This window comes from Homo sapiens, chromosome 2 (genome assembly GCF_000001405.40).
Source record: "Homo sapiens chromosome 2, GRCh38.p14 Primary Assembly".
Taxonomy (NCBI): Eukaryota; Metazoa; Chordata; class Mammalia; order Primates; family Hominidae; genus Homo; species Homo sapiens.
Window position 1 is genome coordinate 38,580,228 of NC_000002.12, and position 25,951 is coordinate 38,606,178.

Consider the following 25,951-nt stretch of genomic DNA (forward strand, 5'->3'; position numbering starts at 1 on the left):
ACTTGTCCGGTTGTTTCAGTGCTAAGGATGTGCTTTCTAATACTGACATCAACTGTACCAACCCAAGGCCAGGCAGATTTCCATAAGTAGTGAAAAACATGGGGTCTAGCCAAAGCTGCATTACAAAACAAACCTATTTGCAATTTCATGCATAAGGCAAGATGATTTCCTGGGAATTGAGAGTTAAAGGAGCCAATCATCTAAAAGTCCTAAATATGCAAACATGCAAAAGATCAATCATCACATTGTCTTTTTCTTTTTGCTAGAGTACATGCACTATAGAGTACCCACTCCCCAAGGTATTTTGTATGCCATAAAATTTTTTTCTAGTTACTGACTTTTACAGACATACTCATCTTGAGCTTTTCCACCCTGTAGTTCAAACACTGATATTGTAGTTAAGATGTAGCCAATACTGCAGCCCCCTTGTTTTTACAAGATCCACATTTTAATTTGTATATTCCAGAATTGCCACACAGTTAGTTGAACAATTTTATCAGTCAAATTTATCCTCACGAAATCTAGCACTTATAGGTGAAGATGCATCCCAAATGAAATGCTCTTATTTTCAGATTTATCAAGTTTAAAGATATTCTATCTTGAACAGACATGTTACTTTCACCTACATTTGAAATGTCAAAATTTCTAGTTACACAAATTGACAGTGATAACCTTAAATTGTTACAAAAAGTGACAACTTATAAACAGCCACTTTACAAAAATCAAACCACACAGAAGAACGTCTTTCACATATAATGCACCTTTTCATTATGTTAGAATTTCTGTTCAGTGACCACAATTGAGAAAAAAACAAAAAATTTAAAAAGTAAACAATGCAGCAAGTGTGCACCTTTCTAATCCTTTTATTTTTCTATCTGTGTGGATTGGTTGAGCATTATCAATTCCCAAGACCTGTTAATAAACTGGTCCTGGTTATTTGCCAATTAACAATTTGAATCTAAGCTGCACACAGTCACAGTAATGGGCATTAAGATTTACAACATTGCAGATGAAGTCTAGTTTCCGTTAGTGGAAAGTCTTAAATTCTACAACTGAAACCTTAAGGGAAATCAGACCAATATATACATACAACTTGTATAAATGGGCACAGTCTATCATGGTGTTCATCCCATGCAATTCTGAAGTACTGTTAAGTGTCCTCCTTTAAAAACTTGGGGTGATGGTGCATGCAGTATGCAGTCAAGGTGAATTGCGAGTCTGAGTTTTTCAGAGGGCTTTTTGCTGATGCCGATGTTGTGCATGATGAAGTGTAGAGTCAGCCTGCTGGAGTCCTCTATCCTTCTTAATGCCTCGTCCAGCTTGGGGGAAAGTCCTTTCCATAGAGAAGCAGTGTGCAAGTTTGCAGTTTGTAAGGAATATTCTGAATCAGTTTCCTCTCCTCCAAAGAGAGAGAGCTGCTTGGAGAAATGCAAGTCCTTGAACTGCGGGCGTGCCTGAATGTGTGGGCTCCTTGTTGAACTAAATATAAATAGCTCAGTACATACCAGTAGGGGGCACTAATGTTCAAGGTTATTTTCCAGCATTACATGGCCTTTTGCAACAAAAGCATTCATCAACAAGGTTTTCATTTGAATTAACTAGCTCATCTCAGGAAAAAAGAATCTAACTGCATATAAAAATTTGTCAGCAGATCAAGTACATTCTAAAATGTATAAAATACCTACCTCGTCTTCCCAAATATGGTTTAGTGTAGTCCCAACTGTCATTGTCATTCCTAATAACATTTAGACGAGTTGGCTGTTAAGATTGAAAATAATGTAAGTTCAAACTGCATATCCAAAGCATAAATATTTCTTGGGTAGGGTGTTGAAAAAAATATTTACCCGTGCATATTCAATTTTTAGTGTGCAACATCCAGCATATATATCAGCTCCATTGAGTGCTGCTTTAGCTTTCTGGGCACAAAGGACTGATTCAAACATAAGCTCTATTAAGGAAATTCGGTTTAAGGTATCTGATACTTAATCATTATTCACTCCCAAAGGACAGGATTGAAAATAATCAGAAGTAGCTCTTTTACTTCTGGAAATGTTTTACCAATTTCAGGATGAATTTTAAGAGAATTTTTTGTTTTGTTTTGTTTTTGAGACGGAGTCTTGCTCTATCACCAGGAGTGCAGTGGCGCGACCTGGGCTCAATGCAACCTCCACCTCCCGGGTTCAAGCAATTCTCCTGCCTCAGCCTCCCAAGTAGCTGGGACTACAGGTGTGTGCCACCGCACCCGGCTAATTTTTAATTTTTTTAGTAGATACGGGGTTTCACCATGTTGACCAGGATTGTCTCGATCTCTTGACTTCGTGATCCGCCCGCCTCGGCCTCCCAAAGTGCTGGGATCACAGACGTGAGTCACTGCGCCTGGCCAGGAGAATTTATTTTTAAGATCAAGGGTGGCTGGGCACAGTTGCTCACGCCTGTAATCCCAGCACTTTGGGAGGCTGAACCAGGTGAACAGCCTGAGCTCAGGAGTTCGAGACCAGCCTGGCCAACATGGTGAAGCCCCATCTCTACTAAAAATACAAAAATTAGCTGGGTGTGGTGGCAGGTGCCTGTCATCCCAGCTACTTGGGAGGCTGAGACACGGGAATCACTTGACCACCCTGGGCAACAAAAAGCAAAACTCCATCTTAAAAAAAAAAAAAAAATCAAGGGTACCAAAGAAAACATAATACAACCGAACTATCTACCTTAATTCTTTTAGGTCATCATTAGTACTTTATAAATCGGAAAGCAGAGGAGATAATGGAGCATGGTCCCATTCCCTAGCAAAGGACAACTTGCAACCTTGAAACAGAAAAGATTTTACTCTTTAAGAAGAACATTACAAAGAGCCAAAGTAATACAAAACAAATACATGATTTTTACATATTTCTGAGAAGGCATAGTTTTATAATACTCTATCTAAAATTTTATCAGTTTTTAAAAAAATTACTTAAGTCCATAATCTTAAAAAAATAAAATCACAAAGGTATATAAGGTAAAAAAACAAAGATAAAACATAAGTCCCTTGCCAGAAGTAAGCACTATTAAAGCGTTTGCTGTATATCCCTACCTTCTTCTATGCATACACATGCACACGTAGGTTGGGGTTTTCTCTTTATTATTATTATTTAAGATGGGTCCAGCTTGGGGGAAAGTGTATTATCTATACTATTTTGTAACTTGCTCTTCTTACTCAATGTGTGACAAATTTAACATAAAGAAGTTTTTACATAAACCATTACCATTTTAAAGGTTCAATAAAAAAAGGTAAGATTTTACTGACTCTAAAGTTTTGGTACTTCCAAACTACTTTAAGAGGGAGTCAGAAAAGTTCACTTAGGATAAATTCCAAAATAGTACAAGTGTACATATCTTCAAATAGTGTTATTTAACAGCTTAAAAAGGAAGCACTAGATTGCTTTCTGGTAGCAAGTTATTCTTATCATAAATAGTAAAATTCCCTATGAGTACTGCAGTTTCATTTTTTAAAGCTAAGTCACGTAGATTTTTGTGAGAGGACAAAGTAAACACCACTTGTCTAGAAATGCTTAAGCCAGAAAAAATAAGATCCGTATGAATTACACATCAATAAAAATTTACAAATAAAGGATATTCAACCATTGCTTGTATCCCATTTCTCTTGAATATAACAATACGTTGCACTTTGCCAACAGGGTTGCATACAGTATATAAAACATCCTATGAAGGAAAAGAAAAAGATTTCTTCACACTTTACATCTGAAAAAACATTAAAGCTATACTTCGTTTTGTTTTACCTAAAAACTATCAACTGTCAAGATGTCATTTCTATTGATTAATAAAATTAATTCTTAAAATTATTACTTTTTTCTTGAGACAGGGTCTCACACTGTTGCCTAGGCTAGAGTGCAGTGGCACGATCACAGTTCCCTACAGCCCTGACTTCCCAGGCTGAAACGATCTCCCGCCTCAGCCTCCCGAGTAGCTGAGACTTCAAGGCATGCACCACCACACAAGGTTAATTTTTTCGTTTTTTGTAGAGACAGAGTCTCACTATGTTGTCCAGGCTGTCTCAAACTCCTGAGCTCAAGGGATCCTACTACCTCAGTCTCCTAAAGAACTAAGATTATAGGTATGAGCCACCATGCTGGCCTAAAATTATTATACTTTAATAAATCTTAAGGTATTTCTTCACCTACACAATACACCCACATTAAAGAAGTTCCAATGGAACATTTGGAAAGCACTGTCACCTATTTTATGTCCTAAATGAATCCTCAATTTTTATTTTCTTAACAGGTGACTAAAATAACTTCTGATGATATAAAATTAATAAACCAAAACTATAATCAATGAATATTTTTTCCAAATGTGACACTGAAATGTTTAATATTATAATCACTTGTGTTATAGTAATAAATATGTATTAAGAGATAATATTAGAACAACTCTGGTACTCATTTTTCAAGGGACAATGGCCATAAAGAAAAGACCCAAGGAAGACCATACAGTTACATGTCACTAAACAAGACGCCTGAGTCATCTAAGAATCTAAATACCTACTTAGGAGTAATTATTCAACTATCAAGAAATTTCTTGAGCATCTATAATTTACACAGCTGCATTGTTACACACCAGAGATATAACAAAAAACAGAGTACCTACACTAGATTAGTTACATGTTTTCCCAACACCGAATATTATAAATATATTACTATATATTAATAAGTCTATATTTAAAATACAAAATGTCTAATTAAATCTAAAGAATATCTTATGCTTTAAGTTTATGTCCCAATATCATATGCCCAGACTACATATGATACCAACTGAAGTTTCCCTTACTGTGATGTTCCTCTATTCATTACAAAAATTAAGTGTCTGTGTTACTAGCTTATTATGAAACAGCATGTGAGTAGGAAGAAAACTAGTTCTGGAAACAAATCCTTTTTAAAACTTCTACCAATAACACTTTTCAAAAGAGTAAAGAAGCAGGGAATTTAAAGTAAATCAAAGACAGATTTTTAACAAGCTATTGCAAAATAGTTCATAATGATATGTGCATCTTACCATAACATGGGATTCTGTCACTACCTAGTAGATGCTCTTATATATATGCTGGCATATGCGTGACAGAGATTTTTTGAACGATTTCAAACAAGTCTGTCTATAATTCCTTATTATCAAAAACAGAACTGGTACTGATTATACATTAAAAATTTCAATGTGCCTATTTAATTATGACAACTGTGCTTATCTTTTTAACTACAGTGCTCAGCATTTTTTCTTTGTTCATTAAACTTGTTAAGATTAATTTTCAAAATTAAAAAAACTATTTTCTAGTATCTAGATGGCAATGAAAAAACTACAGATCAGTCACTCTGGAGGCAAACTGCAAAATCACTTTTAATTTCATTTGTCATATTAAAACACATACCACTGTAATTGGATAAAGCGGATTCTGAATTGAGAGCAGAAGAACTTTGTTGCCTCCTGATGGATCATCAGTATTTCCTGGCCGAGTGATCCTTTTGCTTGTAGAATAGTTGAAAAAAGCCTGTTGACCAGCAATGTACACGGGTTCATCTGCAGCAAATGTCACACATTCTTTGGCACTATCTATGTTTTCAAATTCCACTAGAGCCTGTCGTTTAAATGGCATCATCATCACATAGCTGAAAAGGGAGAAAAGGAGGAAACACACAAACACAGCAAGTTCCGTTAACATTATTTGTCCTCAATTAAGTAAAAGCAGACTTTAATAAAAATGTGTCAAATCCCACAGTATTCTTCACTACCTGTGTCCAACGTAAGTCAACTTTTTTTTTTTTTTGAGACGGAGTCTTTCTCTGTCGCCCAGGCTGGAGTGCAGTGGCGCAATCTAGGCTCACTGCAAGCTCCGCCTCCCGGGTTCACGCCATTCTCTTGCCTCAGCCTCCTTAGTATCTGGGACTACAGGTGCCCGCCACCAGGCCCCGCTGATTTTTTATACTTTCAGTAGAGACAGGGTTTCCCCGTGTTAGCCAGGATGGTCTCGATCTCCTGACCTCGTGATCCGCCCACCTCGGCCTCCCAAAGTGCTGGGATTACAGGCATGAGGTAAGTCAACTCTTAAATCATCTGAAGAATTGTGGTACAACAGGTAGATGTACACATATGAAAGCTTATCTCCCAGTGATAAGTTTATCTACCTCATGACCTCCTCAAAAACAATTATCTGTTATTAGTTACTAACAAGACAACCCAGTTTATTCTTTGGGGTGCTACTCCGAAGCAGTATTAGAAAATTTCAAAGACATAGAAACCAACGCAGATCAAACTCAACAGAAGGTTGGCAGACAGAATCCCTACTTGACAGCACAAACTACCTCTCTCGAATTTTCTTGAATAAACATCCATACTAACAGCTAAGAACTGACTATACTTTTAAAACAGAGATAAATATAAATGGAAGCAACAACAGACTGACCAAAGTTCCAAAGTTCATATAAATAATCTCCTCCAAAACATTTTAATACTAACCATCCATAAAAAATATTCATTAGAATACGGCAATCAGGAGTGTCTATGAGCAGGAGGGTAAGATGTTTACTTTTCAAAGTATATTCTTTACTAGAAAGACAAACGAAGCAGCCAAAAAAACCCCAAAATATAATACAGTACGTTCTTTTTGGAGGAGATATATTTTAATACAGGAAATGAAGAATTAAAAAGATATATTTTAATACAGGAAATGAAGAATAAGAAAGGAAGGAAGAGTTGAAGACAGAAATCACAGCACCTGGATCACAATGGGGGAAGCATGTCCTCTATTCACAGGAACAAGAACCTTAAAAATGCTTTAAAATACAATTAAGTGGTTTTCGTAATAGCAGAAGGCCAAAGAAATGTCGGGTCCAGTACTCAATGACATCACTGTTTCTCAATCAGGCATCCAGGACCTACTGCTACACTATGGAAACTAACAAATGGTACAGTATTAATAAGAAAGAAACAGATCACCTTACAGCCTGGCAAATTATTATTATAGTAAATGTCAGCTTCCTCATTTATAAAACTTGGAGAATTGTCAAGATTAGAGTTACTACATACAAACTCTAAGCGGATTGCCTTGCACATTGTACACCCTCAATAAAAGGTAACTATTACTGTATTATTATTATTTAACGTATCTTGCCTCATTCATCTTTCTGTCCTCAGAAGCTAGAAACAGAGCCTAGCATATATTTGTTAATCTAGGGGACTTATTAGTTTTCCCCACCCATATCATTCAAAATTAAAGAAGTACAAAAACAAGGCGTTGAATTTAAAAGTGCAAGATATAAATCCCAGGAGACATTCCTTTTAGAAACACAGACGCTTCACTGAAGTTCTAAAGTCTTGCACATGAAAAATAGAAAATGCTGGTATCAGGTCTATGCTAAAGAAATTCAAGAAGAAAAAATCTTCTTTCACAAAACAAAAAAGTTGGTTTAATATCTAAATGTATTACTGAGTTTATGTTATTACGCTAATAATGCCATATGAAAACAGAAAATTATAAAGGTACTGATATGGTGTGGCTCTGTGTCCCCATCCAAACCTCGTATTGAATTGTGATCGCCGATGTAGGAAGTGGGGCCTAGTAGGAGGTGATTGGCTCATGGGGGTGGTTTCTAATGGCTTAGCACTATCCCCCTAGCGCTGTCTCCTGACAGAGTTCTCACAAGATCTGGTTGTTTGACAGTGTGTGACACCTGCCCCTTTGTGTGCGCGCTCTCTCTCCTCTCTTTTTTTTCTCTCTCTCTCCTGCTGGCTATGTAAAGATGTGCGTACTTCCCCTTCACCTTTTGCCATGATTCTAAGTTTTCTGAGGCCACCCCAGAAGCAGAAGACTGTATAGCCTGCAGAACCGTGAGCCGATTAAACCTCTCTTCTTAATAAATTACCCACTCTCAAATACGTCTTTATAGCAATATAGCAATGTAACAACAAACTAATACAGGTACAGAAGTAAATTATTTATTGGCCTGTTATAGACTTAGTAAATTTGCTTTCTGTGACTAAAATAAGAAGTGAGCTGGCTAGGCACGGTGGCTCATGCCTGTAATCCCAGCACTTTGGGAGGCGGAGGTGGGTGGATCACAAGGTCAGGAGTTCAAGGCCAGCCTGGCCAAGATGGTGAAACCCTGTCTCTACTAAAAATATAAAAAATTAGCCAGGCACGGTGGCAGGCGCCTGTAATCCCAGCTACTTGGGAGGCTGAGGCAGGAGAATCGCTTGAACTTGGAGGGCAGAGGTTGCAGTGAGCCAAGATCGCGCCACTGCACCAGCTTGGGTGACAGAGTGAAACTCCATCTCAAAAAAAAAAAAAAAAAAAAAGGGTGAGCTAAAAGCACAACTTAAAAGTGAGGGTTACCCAGAAAAGTAGCATCAATGAAGATAAAGAAAAAATTAAAATGTTTTATTTTCCTTTTTACTGCCAATATTCAATATAAAAAAACTAAAATGTTACAGACATTTTAGCATGTGCTTAAATTGTTTTTTGAAAATCTTTAAAACGCACTCATATGAAACCAGGTGTGGTGGCTTGTGCCTACAGTCCCAGCTACTCAGGAAGCTGAAAGTGGGAAGATTGCTTGAGCCCAGGAGTTCAAAAAAATAAAGAAAAAAGGTATTAATACGAGAAACAGTGGGAGATCACAGAGAGAAAAGGCTAAAGAAACAAAAAAGCTAAGGGACATGGTAGGATCAATGCTTTTAACTCCATCAATTTAAAAATCTTTACCAATTTCTAAATAAAAACATAGGAGAAGACAACAGATTTAGTGCACAAACTGTGTCCTCCCAAATGTTGTATTGTAAAACTAATCATTTCCTAATATCTCCTTTAATGGGAGAGAAGGGGAAAAAGAAATACAACATGTATTTTAAATACTCTTATACTCTTGATTATAATGCATACAGTATAGAAAAATAACAAAAGTTAAAAAATACAAGCAATTTTATCCTGACACAACACAACCATTTTTAATATCTTGTTATATTTTCTTCTGAGCTTCTTACCTATGCATCTAGTTTTTATATATAAGCTTACTACATACTGAACTTGGTGATTCACCATTTTAATATAAGCAGTTTCTATACTGTTTATAATCCCACACATTCCATTAAATAAAGGGAAAGTTTCCAAATTGTAACATTTTGAAGCAAAATTTCTATTGGAAGCTGTTCAAGGTTCTTTCAGCCTTAATAGCAGCCACCTCTCATGCAAGTTCATTTCATACAACTGAAACTCCTATTACACCTATTTATGCCAATTAAGCTCTTAATTACACACTAATTTGTTCCAATTATTTCAGAATTTTCTATCCACATAACTACCAATCTTGAGGGCAAAATGACGCAAATTAACTGAATGACATTCACATACGGTAGACTTTACCAGAGACTAAGTATCAAATCAAAATTTTAGAGTCTAAAAATGCAAAGGTCACCAGGAGTAATTCAAATTACTAACTTAAAATAGTTCTATTTCTTTAATTCCTAACCTTCATGTCATGGTACTAATTAACATCAAAATAGTCACTGCTTCCCAAAGTTTCCATTTATATTTGCTCATCAACTTGTTTTCTGACATCTGCCTAAGAAAATAAATTTTAAAGCCCTAAATACACAAGAAGAGAGGAAAAATAAACCACAGACACCCACCTCTTTATAATTCCATAGGACAATGTGCCACTTATATAATCATTAGAAGGTCCTTATAGAGACAGGGGTAGTCTACTGTCAACAGCAAGACTAAAGGTCTAAGGAGTCTGTCTACTTAATATGTAACTCTCCACGCAGATTTAATTCCAATATCCACTCCAAATGACTGAGAATTGATATAATCAACTTAGTGATACACTTTCAACATACAAACTTTACTATGCCCATGCGGATTCTCAATTTGTACATCCAAGGTTAACGTGTTTGCCAAGTCATTTACCTCTCAATGAGGTCACCCAAGAAAATAAAATTATGCCACAATGCAAGTTATCACCTAATACTACTATTCCTTTGAAGAAATAACCCATTTCTGCTGGATACCCTCTGCTGGACATCTCTGATCACTACCTCATTATCTATGCATTTTCCTCTCAATACTCAAATACTTAACATGAATTTTTATAAAATTGAAGCAGTAAGGGTAAGTATCTCAGAAAACACACTGAAATTTCTCTTCTATTTATATACTTCAACTTGATCTGTGTCTTCGATAGCTGTAACAAAAACTCTAAACATATTCATCAAGGAAAAATAATAAAATCAACGCTAGATTATCTATACTAAGAAAAGAACAACAGCCGGGCATACTCCAAAAATAATTTAGAATTTTTAAGTGTCTATTTTTGGCAGCAGATTCACTTTTCTAATTATGTTTTCACTTAAGTTAATATTCTTAAGTATACAGCAGCTGTGGGAAGAGACAGGGGGAGCCTGCGTGAATACAAGGCACAAAAGGAAGACAAACTAGGATAAAATATAGCTCATGATTTGCATTAAGAACTCACAGAGCCTATAATCCCAGCACTTCTGGAGGCTGAGGTGGGAGGATAGCTTGAGCCCAGGACAGCAGCTGAGGCAATGTTAAGAGACCCCTCATCTCTACAAAAAATTTTTTTAAATTACCCGGGCATAGTGACATGCGTCTATAGTCCCAGCTATTAGGGAGGATAAAATGGGAGGATAACCTGGGCTCAGGAGGTGGAGGCTCCAGTGAGCCATCAATGTGCCACTACACTCCAGCTTGGGCAACAGAGAGAGACCCTGTCTCAAAAAATAAAAAGAACTCAGCAATATGCACATGAACAAAAGAACTCACAGCAATATGCACCTAAACAAATAATGCCTACCCTTAATCTGCTTACTTTTAGTTGCCAATTAATTCCTAAATATTCCAAAATCAAGAACAACAAAAAAATCAATATTTAAGCATCACTACTTGAAACTCTGAAGATGAAGCATGTAATCAACTCAATGGTTTAAAGAGTGTTTGAACAGGACTCACGGACTCATTTGAAAATCAGATGAAAAGCACACATAATTTCTTTATACAACTTTGCTGGGGAGTGAGAAGTGATCATAGCTCCACAAAAATACACTCATGCATCACCCAGGAAGGTTAAAAATAGTAGGCTTAAAACGTTCCAAAGAAATACAGTCATAGGCAAACAATAGATACTACTTTGTTTATATATACAAACAATATTTACTATGCTAAACATCAAGGCTTGTAACAAGCAAGCAAGGATTATTCTACCACAGTTTTCAATCTACATGAAGTCCCTATCATCCTTACCATATTGTCCCAAATTTTTCCAGCGCTTCCACGAGGTCTGCTTCCACCACAGATTCACAGAGTCCTCGAACATGGACGACGGGTGAAACAGAAACTTTATGATGACTTCCACCTGCCTCCTAGCAAGAGAAAATAATTTCTAGTTAAAAAAATTTTAAGTCTAAGGCCGAACGCGGTGGCTCACGCCTGTAATCCCTGCACTTTGGGAGGTCAAAGTGGGAGGGTCATTTGAGGTCAGGAGTTCGAGACCAGCCTGGCCAACATGGTGAAACCCCATCTCTACTAAAAATAGAAAAATTAGCCAGGCATGGTGGCACGTGTCTGTAATCCCAGCTACTCTGGAGGCTGAGGCAGAAGAACGGCTTGAATCCGGGAGGTGGAGGCTGCAGTGAGCCAAGATCGCGCCACTGCACTCCAGCCTGGGCGACAGAGTGAGACTCCATCTCAAAAAAAACAAAAAAAATTTAAGTCTAAGTTGAATTGCATCTTTCAGTAAATTCAAACCTGCTTAAAAAGTAAACATTTTTTTTAATCCCAAACCAAATCGCAATTCACAAGTTAGCAAAAGGATATGAGAATAAAATAAATGTTTGTTTTAAAATTTTTAATTTCTTAAAAGGGAGCATTCTATCTCAGTAAGAAGTACAAAGATGTTATTTAATAATATTTCAACTTCAAGAAAATCTCAGAAAGAAAATTTAGCAGATACATAGGGCATGCTACAACTGGAAGTATATTTGATACTCATTAACCTCCATAAAATCAAAATCTCAACTAGTACAAATGAACAAAAAGTTCCAATCAAAAATTTTTCCTCAACATGAAGATAATATACTTATCTTTCCTGTAACGTAGTAGATTTGTATCATCTTTTGTTCTTGTTTAATTGGTTATCTAGTCCCACTATAACTTGAGGATACTCACTTAGCAGTATTAATTCATTAAACACATGACAACTTAAATTTATACAAGGGTACCATCTTTGCAAGGCAGGGGGATGAATAAGAACTACTCAAAAATGCAAGCCCTCCTGGGCATCTACGGAATATTGTGTATCTTCGAGTATGCCAGGCAGGATGTTTCAAAATGTAAGAATATGGTCTTAAAGTTTATTTTTAAACGTAGTATCTGTACGAATTACTTTGAAAATGCAAATAGCTTTCATTTACTTATTCAAGTTCCATTAAGACAAAGATCTGTATTTACAAATGCCATCAGGCACTTCTCTTGCATCGTAACTTCAGAAATGACTTCCACCGTGTACATCCCTGTCTATACAAAAAGAAATTTTTTAAAGTTTTTTTCTCCTATAACAAGACTAATCTGAAAGCGCTATTTTACCATTAAAATTTAACAATTGTTTTAAGAAAATTAAATTTCTTTAAGGCTATTTTAAATGACTCACCAATTTTTCTTTATTATAAAGACTGTTAGGAAAATATAACAAATGGAGTGCCCTGCCAGTAAAAATTTATGTCACAACTGAAAGAAAGGAACTGATTTAAATATATAAAGTAACCACAGAACTACTCACGCTACTGTCAAATCCAAAAAATAAACTCAGTCCTTTGCCAATACTAATTCTATCCTTGGAATTTATTTGAATTGCTTATGCTCCGTCTTTCCTATGGTTAAACAGATATCCCTTACATGCCACTAAGTTTGAAATGAATCATTCTGACTATACCCTAAGTAAATCAACACTTTCTTAAGCAACATTAACAATCAGACTCTGTCTAGATGAAATTCAACAAGCAAATGTGCATGTATCATCATTACATTCTTAAATATAACTGGAAATGAATAAAGCAGGAAGAGCTCTAAATAATACCTACCTGCCAAACACAGCATGTATTTAAAGTATAACAAGTTTTACTCTCAAAATAATTAGAAAATAATAAACTGCAAGATACAATTAAGAGAATCATTTCAGTTCATTCTTAGAAATCAGGTGGCAAAGGTAAAATAAAAGGACGACAGAAAACTGTATTGGCCTGAACTCTTCAAAAAGTTAGTATCAAAAACCAGTGGAGGGAAGATTCTATATGGAGACTAAGAGACACAGCAACCAAATGCTGGGCCAGACGTGGTGGCTCATGCCTGTAATCCAGCACTTTGGGAGGCTGAAGCAGGTGGATCACAAGATCAGGAGTTCCAGACCAGCCTGGCCAAGATGGTGAAACTCCGTCTCTGGTGTGGTGGAGGACGCCTGTAATTCCACCTACTCGGGAGGCTGAGGCAGAGAATTGCTTGAACCCAGGAGGCACAGGCTGCAGTGAGCCGAGATTGTGCCACTGCACTCCAGACTGGGCGACGGAGTGAGACTCCGTCTCAAAAAAAAAACAAAAAAAAACCTAAATGCTGGCCGGGCACAGTGGCTTACGCCTGCAATCCCACCACTATGGGAGGCGAAGCCAGGTAGATCACAAGGTCAGGAGTTCGAGACCACCCTGGCTAACACGGTGAAACCCCGTCTCTACTAAAAATACAAAAAAATTAGCCGGGCATGGTGGCAGGTGCCTGTAGTACCAGCTACTCTGGAGGCTGAGGCAGGAGAATGGCGTGAACCCAGGAGGCAGAGCTTGCAGTGAGCCGAGATTGCGCCACTGCACTCCAGCCTGGGCGACAGAACAAGACTCCATCTCAAAAAAAAACCAAAAACCAAAAAACAAACAAAAAAACCAAATGCTGTATGTGAGCCTTTATTAGACAATAGTTAAAACTACTATCAAACACATATTAGGGACAACTAGGAAAATTTGAATACAGACAGGATATTAGGTTAACATAATAGAATTAATTATCACTGTCTTTAGTAAGAAAATAGTAATGGTTATGTAAGAGAATACCCTTATTCTTAGGAACATTGCGATATTTAGGCATGAAATGTCATGATGTTTGAAATTTACTTTCAAATAGTTTAGGGGAAAATAGTATAGGGGAAAAAAGTATGTATATAAATATAGATATGCAGATGTAGAGAAAAAAACCCTACACAGCAAAAAGCTAAAAACTGCTGAATCTAAGTGAAGGATATACGTTAAGTTGAACATTTTATATAATAAAAAGTTGCAAAATTATTTTATAATATTTAAAGCCTGAAAAAAGGTATAAAGAACTTTATTAAAAATACCCAAGGCCAGGCACAGTGGCTCATGCCTGTAATCCCAGCACTTTGGGAGGCTGACACAGGCAAAATCACCTGAGGTCAGGAGTTCGAGATCAACCTGGCCAACATGGCAAAACCCCATCTCTACTAAAATTAGAAAAATGAGCTGGGCGTGGTGGTGCACGTCTGTAGCTACTCAGGAAGCTGAGGCAAGAGAATTGCTTAAACCAAGTAGGCAAAGGTTGCAGTGAACTGAGATCACATCATTGTACTCCAGCCTGGGCAACAGAGCCTCCATCTCAAAAAAAAGAAATAACCATGTACCCACCATCCAATTTAATAAATAAAACATTATTAGCCAGGCGTGGTGGCTCATGCCTGTAATCCTAGCACTCTGGGAGGCAGAGGCGGGCTCAGGAGTTCGAGGCTCAGGAGTTTGAGACTAGCCTGGGCAACATGGCAAAACCCCGTCTTTAGCAAAAAAACAAAACATTAGCTGGGCGTGGTGGGGTACGCCTGTAGTCCCAGCTACTCAGGAGGCTGAGGTGGAAGGACTGCTTGAACCCAGGAGGTGGAGGTTGCAGTGAGCCAAGATCGTGCCACTCCAGCCTGGGTGATGAGCAAGACCTTGTCTAAAAAAAAAAAAAAAAAAAAAAAAAGAAAAGAAAAAAACACAAAACAATAAATTGATCACATCTCTTCTTACTACCCCCTTCCCTTCCCATTATAGGTAACCACTATCATGAGTATAGTGCTAAAAAATATAACTATTTTTCAAATTGGTCTTCTTACAAAGAAATGGATTATACAATCGATTTTTAAATCTCTCAAAAAAAATCTCCTTTTAATATATTATTATTTAATTATATTTCCTAAGTGGAATAAAGTGAAACCACAGTCATCACTTAAAAGCTGGACAATGTGGGCCGGGCGCAGTGGCTCACGCCTGTAATGCCAGCCCTTTGGGAGGCCAAGGCAGGCGAATACCTGAGGTCAGGAGTTTGAGATCAGCCTGGCCAACATGGTGAAACCACATCTCTACTAAAAATACAAAAATTAGCCGGGCGTGGTGGCGGGCACCTGTAGTCCCAGCTACTTGGAAGGCTGAGGCAGGAGAATGGCGTGAACCCGGGAGGCAGAGCTTGCAGTGAGCTGAGATCGCGCCACTGCACTCCAGCCTGGGCGACAGAGCGAGACTCCGTCTCAAAAAAAAAGGGTGGACAATGTTAAATATACTCAGTATGGTAATTAGGGGAAGATAACGATTATTTCAACCTCAAGGCAGAAAACATACCCCTCACCCACCTTGTATTTCCCTTATTCCCACTCAATGAATCTGCCATTCATAAGTTTATTTACCTGGATATTTCTATTTTTAAATTATGTCCCCTTTTCTTTAACACACAATTTTCTCATTCTTTCTGTAGTGATAAAAAAAAAAAACCTATGGCTGTTTCCAAATATAAAACCAATGTATCAAAGGTATCTTTCCCAACTATTTGTCTACCATCATCCTCTCCTGAGCTTCGTTTTCCCCCTTTTCCCCCAAAATACTCATACTGTTCTTAAATCACTTCTTTACCTGTACTATATACTGGTGACAAGAAATCTGGTGTCATTTGTAGAGACTTCTCTCTTTTTTGAGACAGAGTCTCGCTCTATCACCCAGGCTGGAGTGCAGTGGCACAAGGTCTCACTGCAAACCTGTCTCCTGGGTTCAAGCAGTTCTCCTGCCTCAGCCTCCCGACTAGCTGGGACCACAAGCATGTACCACCACACCTGGCTGATTTTTGTGGTTTAATAGAGACAGGGTTTCACCATTTTTGCCAGGCTGGTCTTGAATTCTTGGCCTCAAGTGATCCACCTGCCTCAGCCTCCCGAAGTGTTGGGATTACAGCTGTGAGCCACCGCGCCCCGCCTGTAGAGATTATTTTACCTACTCTAAAATAACTTCTTTTAAGCATCATACTATGAATCTTGACTCCTAAACTGGTGAACAAATCAGTTTTGTTTTTACCCCCCAACAATATATTAATATTGAGGTCATGTCTTCTCCAGCTTAAGGAGTCCTTTTTTTAATCTTTCCTCATACAGGAGCCCAAGTTATTTCCATTTCAGATGTTTAGTTACCTAGGCTCTCTCTTTCTGTATCTATTGCTTACCAGACTAGAAACAATATCCCAGCTGCGTACCCAGAAAAAGAAGGCATGCTTGCAACATACATGCACTTTACAAACTTACATAATCTCTTCTTTAGGTTAATTGGGTTAACTGTAATGGCAGCATTATTTGGTCTCTACTACAGGCTCTAGACCAGTCTACTTACAGACATTTCAAATTCTCAGCCCTTCAAAGGCCATTTCAGGGACAAACTCTTAATAATACAATATTTTATTTATTTTTTATTTTTTCACAACTCCCTCTTCACAGCAATACTAACTTTAAATGCTAATTTTGACTACTGCATATTAAGGACTAAACTCTACTGAAGAGAAGAAAAGCTCAGTACAGTATAAACAAAGGTTCAATAAACATTAGTTGGCACATCCTACCTCATCCACATTTCCCTCTCTTACATAATCTTTCAATTACCGATATTTGTAATGATTTATTAAGTCACACCTAAGTTTACTCTTCAGGCGAAATATCCTCCAGGTTCTTCTGTCACTCCTTTTATGATGCAATTTCTAGTGCCTTCTCCATTCTGGTAAGCTTTCTGGATACATTAAAATTTATCAATGCAGTCCCAAGAATAAGTACAGTATTTCCAGACATAAAACTATCCCCTATCTTACTCTGGACACTTAATATAGAACAAAGGACAAAGTTTTAACGGGCAGCTGTAAATATCATTTTAACCCACGCGATGTTTAATCACATTTTTTCCCTACTAAATTAAATAATTATGTCTCTTGGTCTTTTTCTCTTTGTAAAGAAGCACATCTAAAACATAGGGAAACTAACTTTCCTATCCAAAGTTTTTAGGTACATTTGATCACATAACAGAGCAAAGATGTAAAATTATGGCCATATGAGTCAAGTAACTTTTTTTATTTTTTTTTTTTTTTGAGACGGAGTCTCGCTCTGTCGCCCAGGCTGGAGTGCAGTGGCACGATCTCAGCTCACTGCAACCGTCGCCCCTCCAGGTTTAGCAATTCTCTGCCTCAGCCTCCGGAGTAGCTGGGATTACAGGCGCGTGCCACCACACCCGGCTAATTTTTTGTATTTTTAGTAGAGACGAGGTTTCACCATCTTGGCCAGGCTGGTCTTGAACTCCTAACCTCGTGATCCACCTGCCTCAGCCTCCCAAATTGCTGGGATTACAGGCGTGAGCCACCGTGCCCGGCCAAGTCAAGTAACTTTTTAAAAAACAAACTTTTTTTTTTTTTGCTCATGTAATAGAAATCATTTGGTTTTGCCTACCCAGAATTCCTTACCCGTTCTGTTTAAAAATAAAAACATAAAAACAAAACAAAACAACTCCGTATTATTATTATACATTGGTATTTTCAATCACACAGTCATGCCTCCTCAACCTCAGAGGTGGCCTGGTGATTAATTAGACGGGGGAAGAGGGGAAGATCAAAAATGCTTGATAAGAAGGGATAAATACGGGCTGGGAAAGAGAGGATGCTCTTTAGCTGCTAGCTATAAGAATGTCAGCCTAGCTTTACCACTATACAGAGAAAAGGAGAATTGAAACATGGAAAGAGAATCAAGTCCCTATGACATCATCCAAATCCCTGGATCCAGCCATTCCTAAAACCAGTGTCACAATTTGGCTTTCCCAGTTACATGGGCCAATAAATCTTCTACCCCGCTCCCTTTTTGTTTTCCTTAAGCTCATCTGAGTTGTTGCTGTGGCTGTAAGCCCTGAAAGTTGTGTTCAATTTCATGGAGGCAAAAAAAGCAATATATGATGTAGAACCAGATTTTTAGATATGTAACATTTTTTCACTATTATAGCCCCATCACCTGACATATGGTAGAAGCTCAATTATTGTGTTTTAAATGAGGCTAGAGATCACTGAGTTCCAGAGAGGTTAAGTGAAAAAGTTTGTAAGCAGAGCCAATACACTTGCCTTGATTGTGCTACTGGCTCTATGAACAGCTCTTTTCACCGTAACATACTAACATGAAGAAACAGTCTAAAACCAAAAGATGGTAAAACCTACTACTTTTCATTTCTTTCCCCAAACTAGGCCTAAAAATCCTCACTCTACTAGAACAGCTTCGCTGGAGGAGACACAAGACACTACTGCTATGCAAGCCTCAGGCTCTGGCACTTACCTCTGGGGCACACATCCTTTAACTACTTTATTTCCATGAAGTAGTTACTACACAGTCTTCTAAACTTCTCCTGTGAGAGCTAAGTGACCTCATCCCATCTCCCAACCCATATGCATCTAACAGATCACAGTAATATTGCTATCATTAGTAATTTACATTGTGCAAGTATAACAGAATAGTGTATCCTGAATTCAAACTGGATTTTCAATGTGCTGTATAATCCTTTGTTTGGAAATCCTAGGAGCAACAATTTTATCTTGGCATTTTGCCATCTTTCACGTCTATTTACTAAAAGTTGAGAAACAAATTTTCACTTCATCAGCAAACCACTTAATAATCTTTGATTTGCCTGTTTATTCACTAGCAGAAAACAGAAAAACTTTAAAATCTCCAAAATAAATTAGCACTCCATCCCAATTCCTCAAGTGGTTTTCCCAAGTGAAGCCTTAATATTTCCAAGTCAAGCTGCCTTCTTAAAAGAAGATACAGAAACTTAATATGATCTTGAAGGTCATGCCTATTAAATTTAAGAACACTACTCCACAAGAAAAAAGTAACTGTATAATATGTGGCAGGAACCTCTATAATCAAGCCTTATTCAACAATGCAGCTCAGTGAATGTGAAAAACCCTAGGAGTTTTTTGCTCTATTAAAAAAAGGTACCAGAAGACACAAATTTGAAGGGTGTTTTATTTCTCATATCCAAAGTATTAACTCTTCTCTCATTTCTCTTTGTACCTTCAACATAATGATCACTCACAATTATCCATTCATTTCTAAGTTAAGAGCCTTTGTAGAACCACTATGTTTTTCTTAAATACTCACTTTCCTCTTTAAATGTAGTCAATATATTATCAAAGCACTCAAGGTTAATCATAAAAAACCAAGCAATGTAAATCTTCAAAGGCTTACTTTGCACTTTACAAACTTCCAACTAGAGTTGAAAAGAATGCCATCATTGTACCTAACCTGCATTTACTTTAACAGTCTGACCACAAAGGTATTTCTTCTCTGGGCTGAAGGACCACTGAAGTTGTGCAAAACCCTTTTCGGTTACAATGAATTACCAAACATGTGAACGAAGAAGCACAAGACAGTAAACTTCTATCCGGGGAACGTCTATCCTAATAATAGAATTTTATTATGTACAGGTTTCCATAGTTGCCATGATTTCAAAATAGTACCAAAAATTACATGAAAAATATTTAAAAACAAGATAAACAAGGCTTCATTAGATTTCATAGTACAATGATGGTTTTACTGTTAAATGAAAACAATTCACCCTTTCCTAGGAAACATATCAGCAGTAAGATAAACAAAAAAATTAAAATTTATACCTCAATCTGCTTATATCAGTTCCCGCCGGGGTAACTTAAAAGCAGCATTAGCATTACGTTAATCACTTAACTATAGCTTCGGTTAAAAAAGGCATGTGTTTCAACCTTCATATTTTACAGACTAAGAGAACTCAGAGTAGTAAACTGACTTTCTCAGACTCACACAAATTGTATGCTAAGACCAGGTGCGGTGGCTCACGGCTGTAATCCCAGCACTTTGGGAGGCCAACTCAGGTGGATCTCTTGAGCCCAGGAGTTAAGAGACTAGCTTTGGCAATATGGTGAAACCCCTTCTCTACAAAACACAGAAAAAAAAAATTGGCCCGGCGTGGTGATGCAGGCTTCCAGTCCCAGCAACCCGGGAGGCTGAGGTAGGAGGATCGCTTGAGACAGGGAGATCAAGGCTGCAGTGAGCCGTGATCACGAGCTGCTGCACTCCAGAGCTGCTGCACTCCAGCCCCGGGCCATAGAGTGAGATCCTCTCAAAAAAAAAAAAAAATTGTATGCTAAGCCTAGACTCTTGACCACCCCCAAGCCCTACTCAGTGCCATTTCCACCGCTCCACACATTTCGCTTTGGATACATTAATTATATGTTATTTTCTTCCCAACATCCAAAATAATACTATTGATTTAATGCTTTATCTGTTTTCAAAAACAAATTTTTATAATCTGATTTAAGTATCTTTCCAAAATGCCTGAAGACATTTCATGATGCTGCACAAAAACCCAAGCAAGATTTCTAGCAACGAGGTACACTGATCGAATACATCGAAATATCAGTTATAATATTCCTGTTTCCAATTTCCACAACAGAGTTGGCTTTGAACTGAAACTTCCTAAGAAAAAACCATTTCCTTTATTCACACTTCCAAGTTACATTTTGAATATTTCAAATAGCTCGGCACAAAAATCTAAAGTAATAGCTAACACCGTAACAAGACTGAGAGAAAAAGTTCCTTTTTTAAATGTGTTGCAAAGTTTGCTCTCACATCCTGGTAACTGGAAACTGCAACGCTGGGTGACTGACCAGCCTTTTTTTTTATTATTTAAAAATTCAAACGGCTATAAAGGGCTTCTAATGTGCGTCTTATTTTTAAAAGGTAAGGTAAAAACCCTTTTAACCTAATAGTAGGATATATGTGTACAGTTTCGTAATTCTGTTAAAGTTTGCAGAATTAATCACAATTCATGTGTTAAATGTTTAAATAACATCTAAGTCATTAAAACCGCTTAAGTGCACCAAAAAAGGGCAATAACGTTTGCTCCGCTTTGTTTCCTTAAAGTCTCCATCCAACTGAAGCTAACTACTTGCTGTGGACAAAATGATCACATTCCTTCTGCCTCCCCCTAACATTTCTGGTAAGAGAAAGACCTGGCTCTAGGAATGTGTGTTTAATGCAACCCTGAGCTCACTTCATCCTTTCATGGGGCAAATGTGGAATAAATTACCAATGAAAAACTTTAGTAATTTTAAGATTTGTTTTACTTGAAGGTAGGGGTGTACCAACAGCTGCCAACACTTCTGTTGAAGTGTTGTAACCGAAGAGGTAAAAAGTGTACTGAGTAATCCACAAAATTGGGTAGAGCAAAGGATGCACGCCATGCTTATAAAGAGTTTAATTTTAAAATTTTTTAAATTAAACCTTCAAGGGAACTAGCATGTGAACGCCAAGGCATAATCTGTTATTTAATTACGGGTCTCCATAGGACCGAGGCGGAGAGAGCTCCCGGTAGAACCGACGCAACCATCCCGGGATGGTGACCAACGCGCGGCTGCTGCGGGCAGAGGGACTGAAGAGAACCGGTGGTCCCGACGCTGGCCCCGAGCCCGAGGAGTTAAACTAACAAAGAGCTCCCCGAGCCGCGAAACCCCCCAGAGCGGAAGCGACGCCTCCCCGCCGCCGCCGCCGCGCCGCGACCCTCCCCAAGTTCAGGGCCCGGCAGTGGACTCGCTGCGGGGCCTGCGGCCAGGACGGCGCCGGGTTCGCAGTCGGGATGCGGGAAACAGGTAGAGGCCAGAATACGAGCCCCAAAGAGAAGAGTGGGCGCTTCCCCAAACGGGTCGGCGCAGCGGAAAAGGCTAACTGAAGCAAGCGGGAGGCCCCGCACCGAGGCCCTGCTTCCCGGGGAGCAGCCAGGCACAGCGGACAGGGGGGCCGCGCTTTGTTACCGGCTGAGAGAAGCTCCGGCCGCCGCCGCCGCCATCGCCCCCGCCCCGGGGCGTCGCTTCCCGGCGGTTCTCGCCTTCCTCGGCCGAGTAGTCGATCTCCCCCTCCTCGGTCTTGAGACGCTTGGCCTGGCTCTCGTACTCCCGGTCCTCCTCGTACGTCTCCCTGGGGGAGGAAGAGGAGGAGGACATGGCGGCGGCCGGAGGGACCGGCTGGCAGGCGGGTGGGGGTGGCGGTGGGGCGCGCGCCTCGGATGCCGCCGGCCAGTCCTCGCCGCCGGCAGCGCCTCTTCTGCGAGGGTCTCCGCGGCCCGGCCGTCCGCGGGGACTGCGCGGCCAGGAGACTGGCGGCTGAGAAGCGCGGACGGACTGAGGGGGGCGCCCCGGGAGGAAGCTCTGGAGCGGCCGCTCCTCTCAATTACCGAGCCAACATTCAGCCTCTCCCTCCTCCTCCTCCGTCTCCGCTCCCTGCCCGGAGGAGCGAATCTAAGGATGGGGACGCAACCGTGGCTTCCGGTCTTCCCTCCTCCCCTAAGCCGCTCCCAGCCGCGCAGGCCGAGCCTCCGCCCCCGCCTTCGCGGCCGTCGCGCAGGATCGAATCCAGCCGCAGCCTGCGGGAAGCGCCCCCCCCGGCCCGGGTTCTGCTCCCTATTGGCAGGGGCGGGAAAGTCGACCGGGCTTCCCATTGGCTGTGAGGGCCGTTCGTCAAAAGCCGCCCGCTGCTCGACCTCACTTCTCTCCCCGCGCCTTCTGAACTCGCCGCGGTCCTGGGAGGCCCGGCGCGCAAGGCGCGCCGCCTGGGAGTAGTTGCGACCCGCAACCGTTGGCGCTATGCGGCTCCTACCCGAGGCCAGGCGTGGAGTGAACACGGACGAGCGACGAGAAGTGCGGAGAGGCTAGGGCTGCGGGTGTTAACCGCCCTGCCGCTAATTTAAATGCTTTTTATCACCTCTTAAAAAGAGAATGAGGAAAAAAACCTCTAAAATCCCTGCAGTCATACCCCCCGAAAAGCCCTAAAATTGCAGGCGATGAAGGGAGAAAACGGCTTGGAGCCATGAGAATGGTCTTTCCACTGTTTTGTGTGCAAAATCTGGTAGAAGTGGGCGGACCCTCCCGCCCCTAGCTGGGTGTTGGAGAACAGCTGTCAGCATTGACTGAAGGCTGCGAGGCGCGCGTCGGCAGGAGGCGCTGCACGCGGGCGCTCGTCGGTCTGATCGGTTATAACTCGTTTGTAACCTGGGCCCTTTACTGACTTGCCTGTCCCTGTAAGTCCCTGCTCCAGTTAAATATGTTTTAATCCTTCCATATAAAATCTCATCCTCCATCCCAATTCTTTCTCTTCTGGACAATGTATTTACTTCACTTGATCATTTATTGTCGAAAGATACAAAAGCCTTTCAAAGTTCTGTGATCACAGCTTGCTTCCTCTGTGGTGTCCTGAGGGCTTTTCCAAGATTTTAGTTGCTGCTCTCTTTTTGCAACAGGGCCCCTTATAACTCCCTCTTAAGATGTTCTGTTTTAAAAACTCTGTGAGCGCCTGAAGACAGGAACTGTGTGCAATTTTCATTTTCGCAAGCCCAGTTCCTGTGCGATCTCCAGCACAATTTAGGTGCTCAACAATGCTGAATGAGTAGTCCTTGGGAAATAAAGGTCCAGTGTATCTTTCAGGACAGAAACTGGCAAATCAAGGCAACCTAACTGCCCTCTGTCAGGTGCCTCTTGGAGGACTGCCTGAGATCAAGAGCCTCTTGTGTTTCTGTTGTCCTTGTCCCTCGGATGCTTTCCTAGATGTGGCTCTTCCTTTCCTAAGAGTGTAGATTGCTTCCTCCTCCAGCCTAGTTCTCTCCAAAGTTATTTCCTCCTCCAAAAAAGCTATTTTTATTTATTGCTGAGAGTGCTTTAACATAACACTTTTGTACTTTGTAAATTACACCGGCTGTCATTTTGGAATCTAATTGCAAGATTTTCCACACTATGCAGCTATAATCAAATGTGTGTGCGGCTGCAGGTATACATTGACAAAACAGAACTAAAAAAATTATAAATTTATTTTTTAAATTAAAATGGAAGTCGACAGAAGAAATAGCAAAAGAGTGGCAGAGCTGGCTGCGGATGAGAAAATGTCATTGGCAAAAAGCTCTGCAATGGTTTGGGAAAGTAAAATAGCAACAAGGGAAACAATGATACAATTCTGCTTAAAATATGTCCTATGGATTCATATGTCCCCTAACATATTCAGAATGCAGACATTACCTGGCCTTCAGAAAGCTGAAGATACCAAGGGTCAAAAAAAAGGTCTAACAAACCTACTTCACGTGTTATCTTTAGCATCCATTGTCCTTTTTATAGCAGTCTCAGTATCAAAGATCAGGAAAGGATGAGTGAATTAATAAACTTGATACAAAGGAAACTTCTTTGATGAGGTGAGATGGGCCATTCTCAAGATATTTTTAGTTTGCTCAAATTAAAAGAGAAGAGCTGAGAGCTTAAAACAATTATTTTTTAGGAGAAAGAAAACAATAGAATATTATGTGAAATAATTGAGTGTGATGAGAAGCACTAAATATCTTTTTGTTAAGTATGAGCAACTACCTGTTAATTTTGTTTTATGTACATTTTCATATGCTAGGTGAATTTAGTTTGGTAAATTCTATTCACTCACAACTGGATTTACTAGGCCTTATACAAACTTTCCAAATATTTCTTGTGAAGATGCAAATATTTTAAATTCTCAAAGCCCTGCATTCAACCTATGGATTATACCACATTACAATGCAACTGTCACACCAATGGGTAAGGAAATCCAGCCTTGCCAAACCTAGGGCTGCTGTGCTCAGCGTTCACAAACAGCAGGTGGAATTCAATATGTACCAGTATTAAACTTTGTTCTTTTTGTAAGTAGCCCAGTTGAGTAAAAAAAAAAATATTGAGGGAGTAAAACTTAGAAAGCATTTTTAAAGGACACCAATCAGTTCGTTAACCATGGGTGAAATGCGAGCTTGTTGCAGATGAGTTGTTCAGACAGTGACAGTAGGTCCTTTGATAAGGAAAATACTAGCTAGCTCATCACCAGGGCATGAGGAGCTAAAGAGAGAGGACATAAATTATACTCTACATTATTTCACTTAGGTGAGACAAAGAAATTACACACTGCCCAGTAGCCAGAAATACCTAAGAAAAGCAGAAACAGCTCCTAAATGCCATGACTGTCTGGAACCTCTCATGCATTACGGCCTCAGACCTTTGACTATTTTCTGAACATTTGATTGAATTCGCTGCTGTCAAGTAGGCAGCAGCCAAGAGCTCCCATTGCCACAGCTCAAAGGGGACTCCAGCTATACTGGAGTAGGAGACAGGCTTAGGGCAGGCCTAGGGAAATTGAGAGTCAAGGGCCTTTATAATCAATCCAGCCTCAAATTGCCCTTTAGTTTTAAATCTCGTTACTGATCTATAAAATTTATAAGACATTGTGCTAGGTGATGAGAGGACTACGTGAGCTGGTCCCTGCCCTCTCAAAGCTTGCAATCAAGTTGTGGAAACAAGGCTCATACCCAAGAGATAGGCTACAAGCATCCATATGTAATAATACATATACAATAATTAATAGCCACATTTAATGTGCCAGTCACTGTGCTAACCACTGAAAGGGTTTTGTCAATAAATTCTGACAGAAGCCTTCTACCAGAGGCATTATTATTACTCTTCCCAGTATACAATTAAAGAAACAGTCTAGGGGAGATTAAG

The 25,951-nt window shown here is 39.6% G+C and overlaps 1 protein-coding gene across 7 annotated transcripts in view, besides 3 other annotated features; it reads right to left on the reverse strand.

The window, feature by feature from the left end:
- Window positions 1-22,701, reverse strand: part of HNRNPLL (heterogeneous nuclear ribonucleoprotein L like) — a 40,960-nt gene extending 18,259 nt beyond the window's left edge. For 5 of the 7 annotated variants that reach the window (XM_011533165.4, NM_138394.4, XM_005264639.5 and 2 more), the window contains exons 1-6: window positions 22,211-22,701; window positions 11,303-11,421; window positions 5,417-5,654; window positions 3,614-3,699; window positions 1,845-1,941; window positions 1,686-1,758 (exon numbers count right to left, since the gene is read on the reverse strand). In XM_011533165.4, coding sequence (XP_011531467.1) covers window positions 1,686-1,758; window positions 1,845-1,941; window positions 3,614-3,699; window positions 5,417-5,654; window positions 11,303-11,421; window positions 22,211-22,399 — 802 coding nt within the window. In that variant the 5' untranslated portion in view covers window positions 22,400-22,701. The remainder of the gene's footprint in view (window positions 1-1,685; window positions 1,759-1,844; window positions 1,942-3,613; window positions 3,700-5,416; window positions 5,655-11,302; window positions 11,422-22,210) is intronic. The other 2 variants (NM_001142650.2, XM_005264640.4) reach the window with 1 other exon arrangement.
- Window positions 22,421-22,520: a silencer, noted in NCBI's record as "silent region_11376". NCBI's record gives its function as "represses an Ori minimal core promoter by ATAC-STARR-seq in GM12878 lymphoblastoid cells {active_cell/tissue: GM12878}" and the evidence as "EXISTENCE:reporter gene assay evidence [ECO:0000049][PMID:35858748]".
- Window positions 22,541-22,590: a silencer, noted in NCBI's record as "silent region_11377". NCBI's record gives its function as "represses an Ori minimal core promoter by ATAC-STARR-seq in GM12878 lymphoblastoid cells {active_cell/tissue: GM12878}" and the evidence as "EXISTENCE:reporter gene assay evidence [ECO:0000049][PMID:35858748]".
- Window positions 22,811-22,880: a silencer, noted in NCBI's record as "silent region_11378". NCBI's record gives its function as "represses an Ori minimal core promoter by ATAC-STARR-seq in GM12878 lymphoblastoid cells {active_cell/tissue: GM12878}" and the evidence as "EXISTENCE:reporter gene assay evidence [ECO:0000049][PMID:35858748]".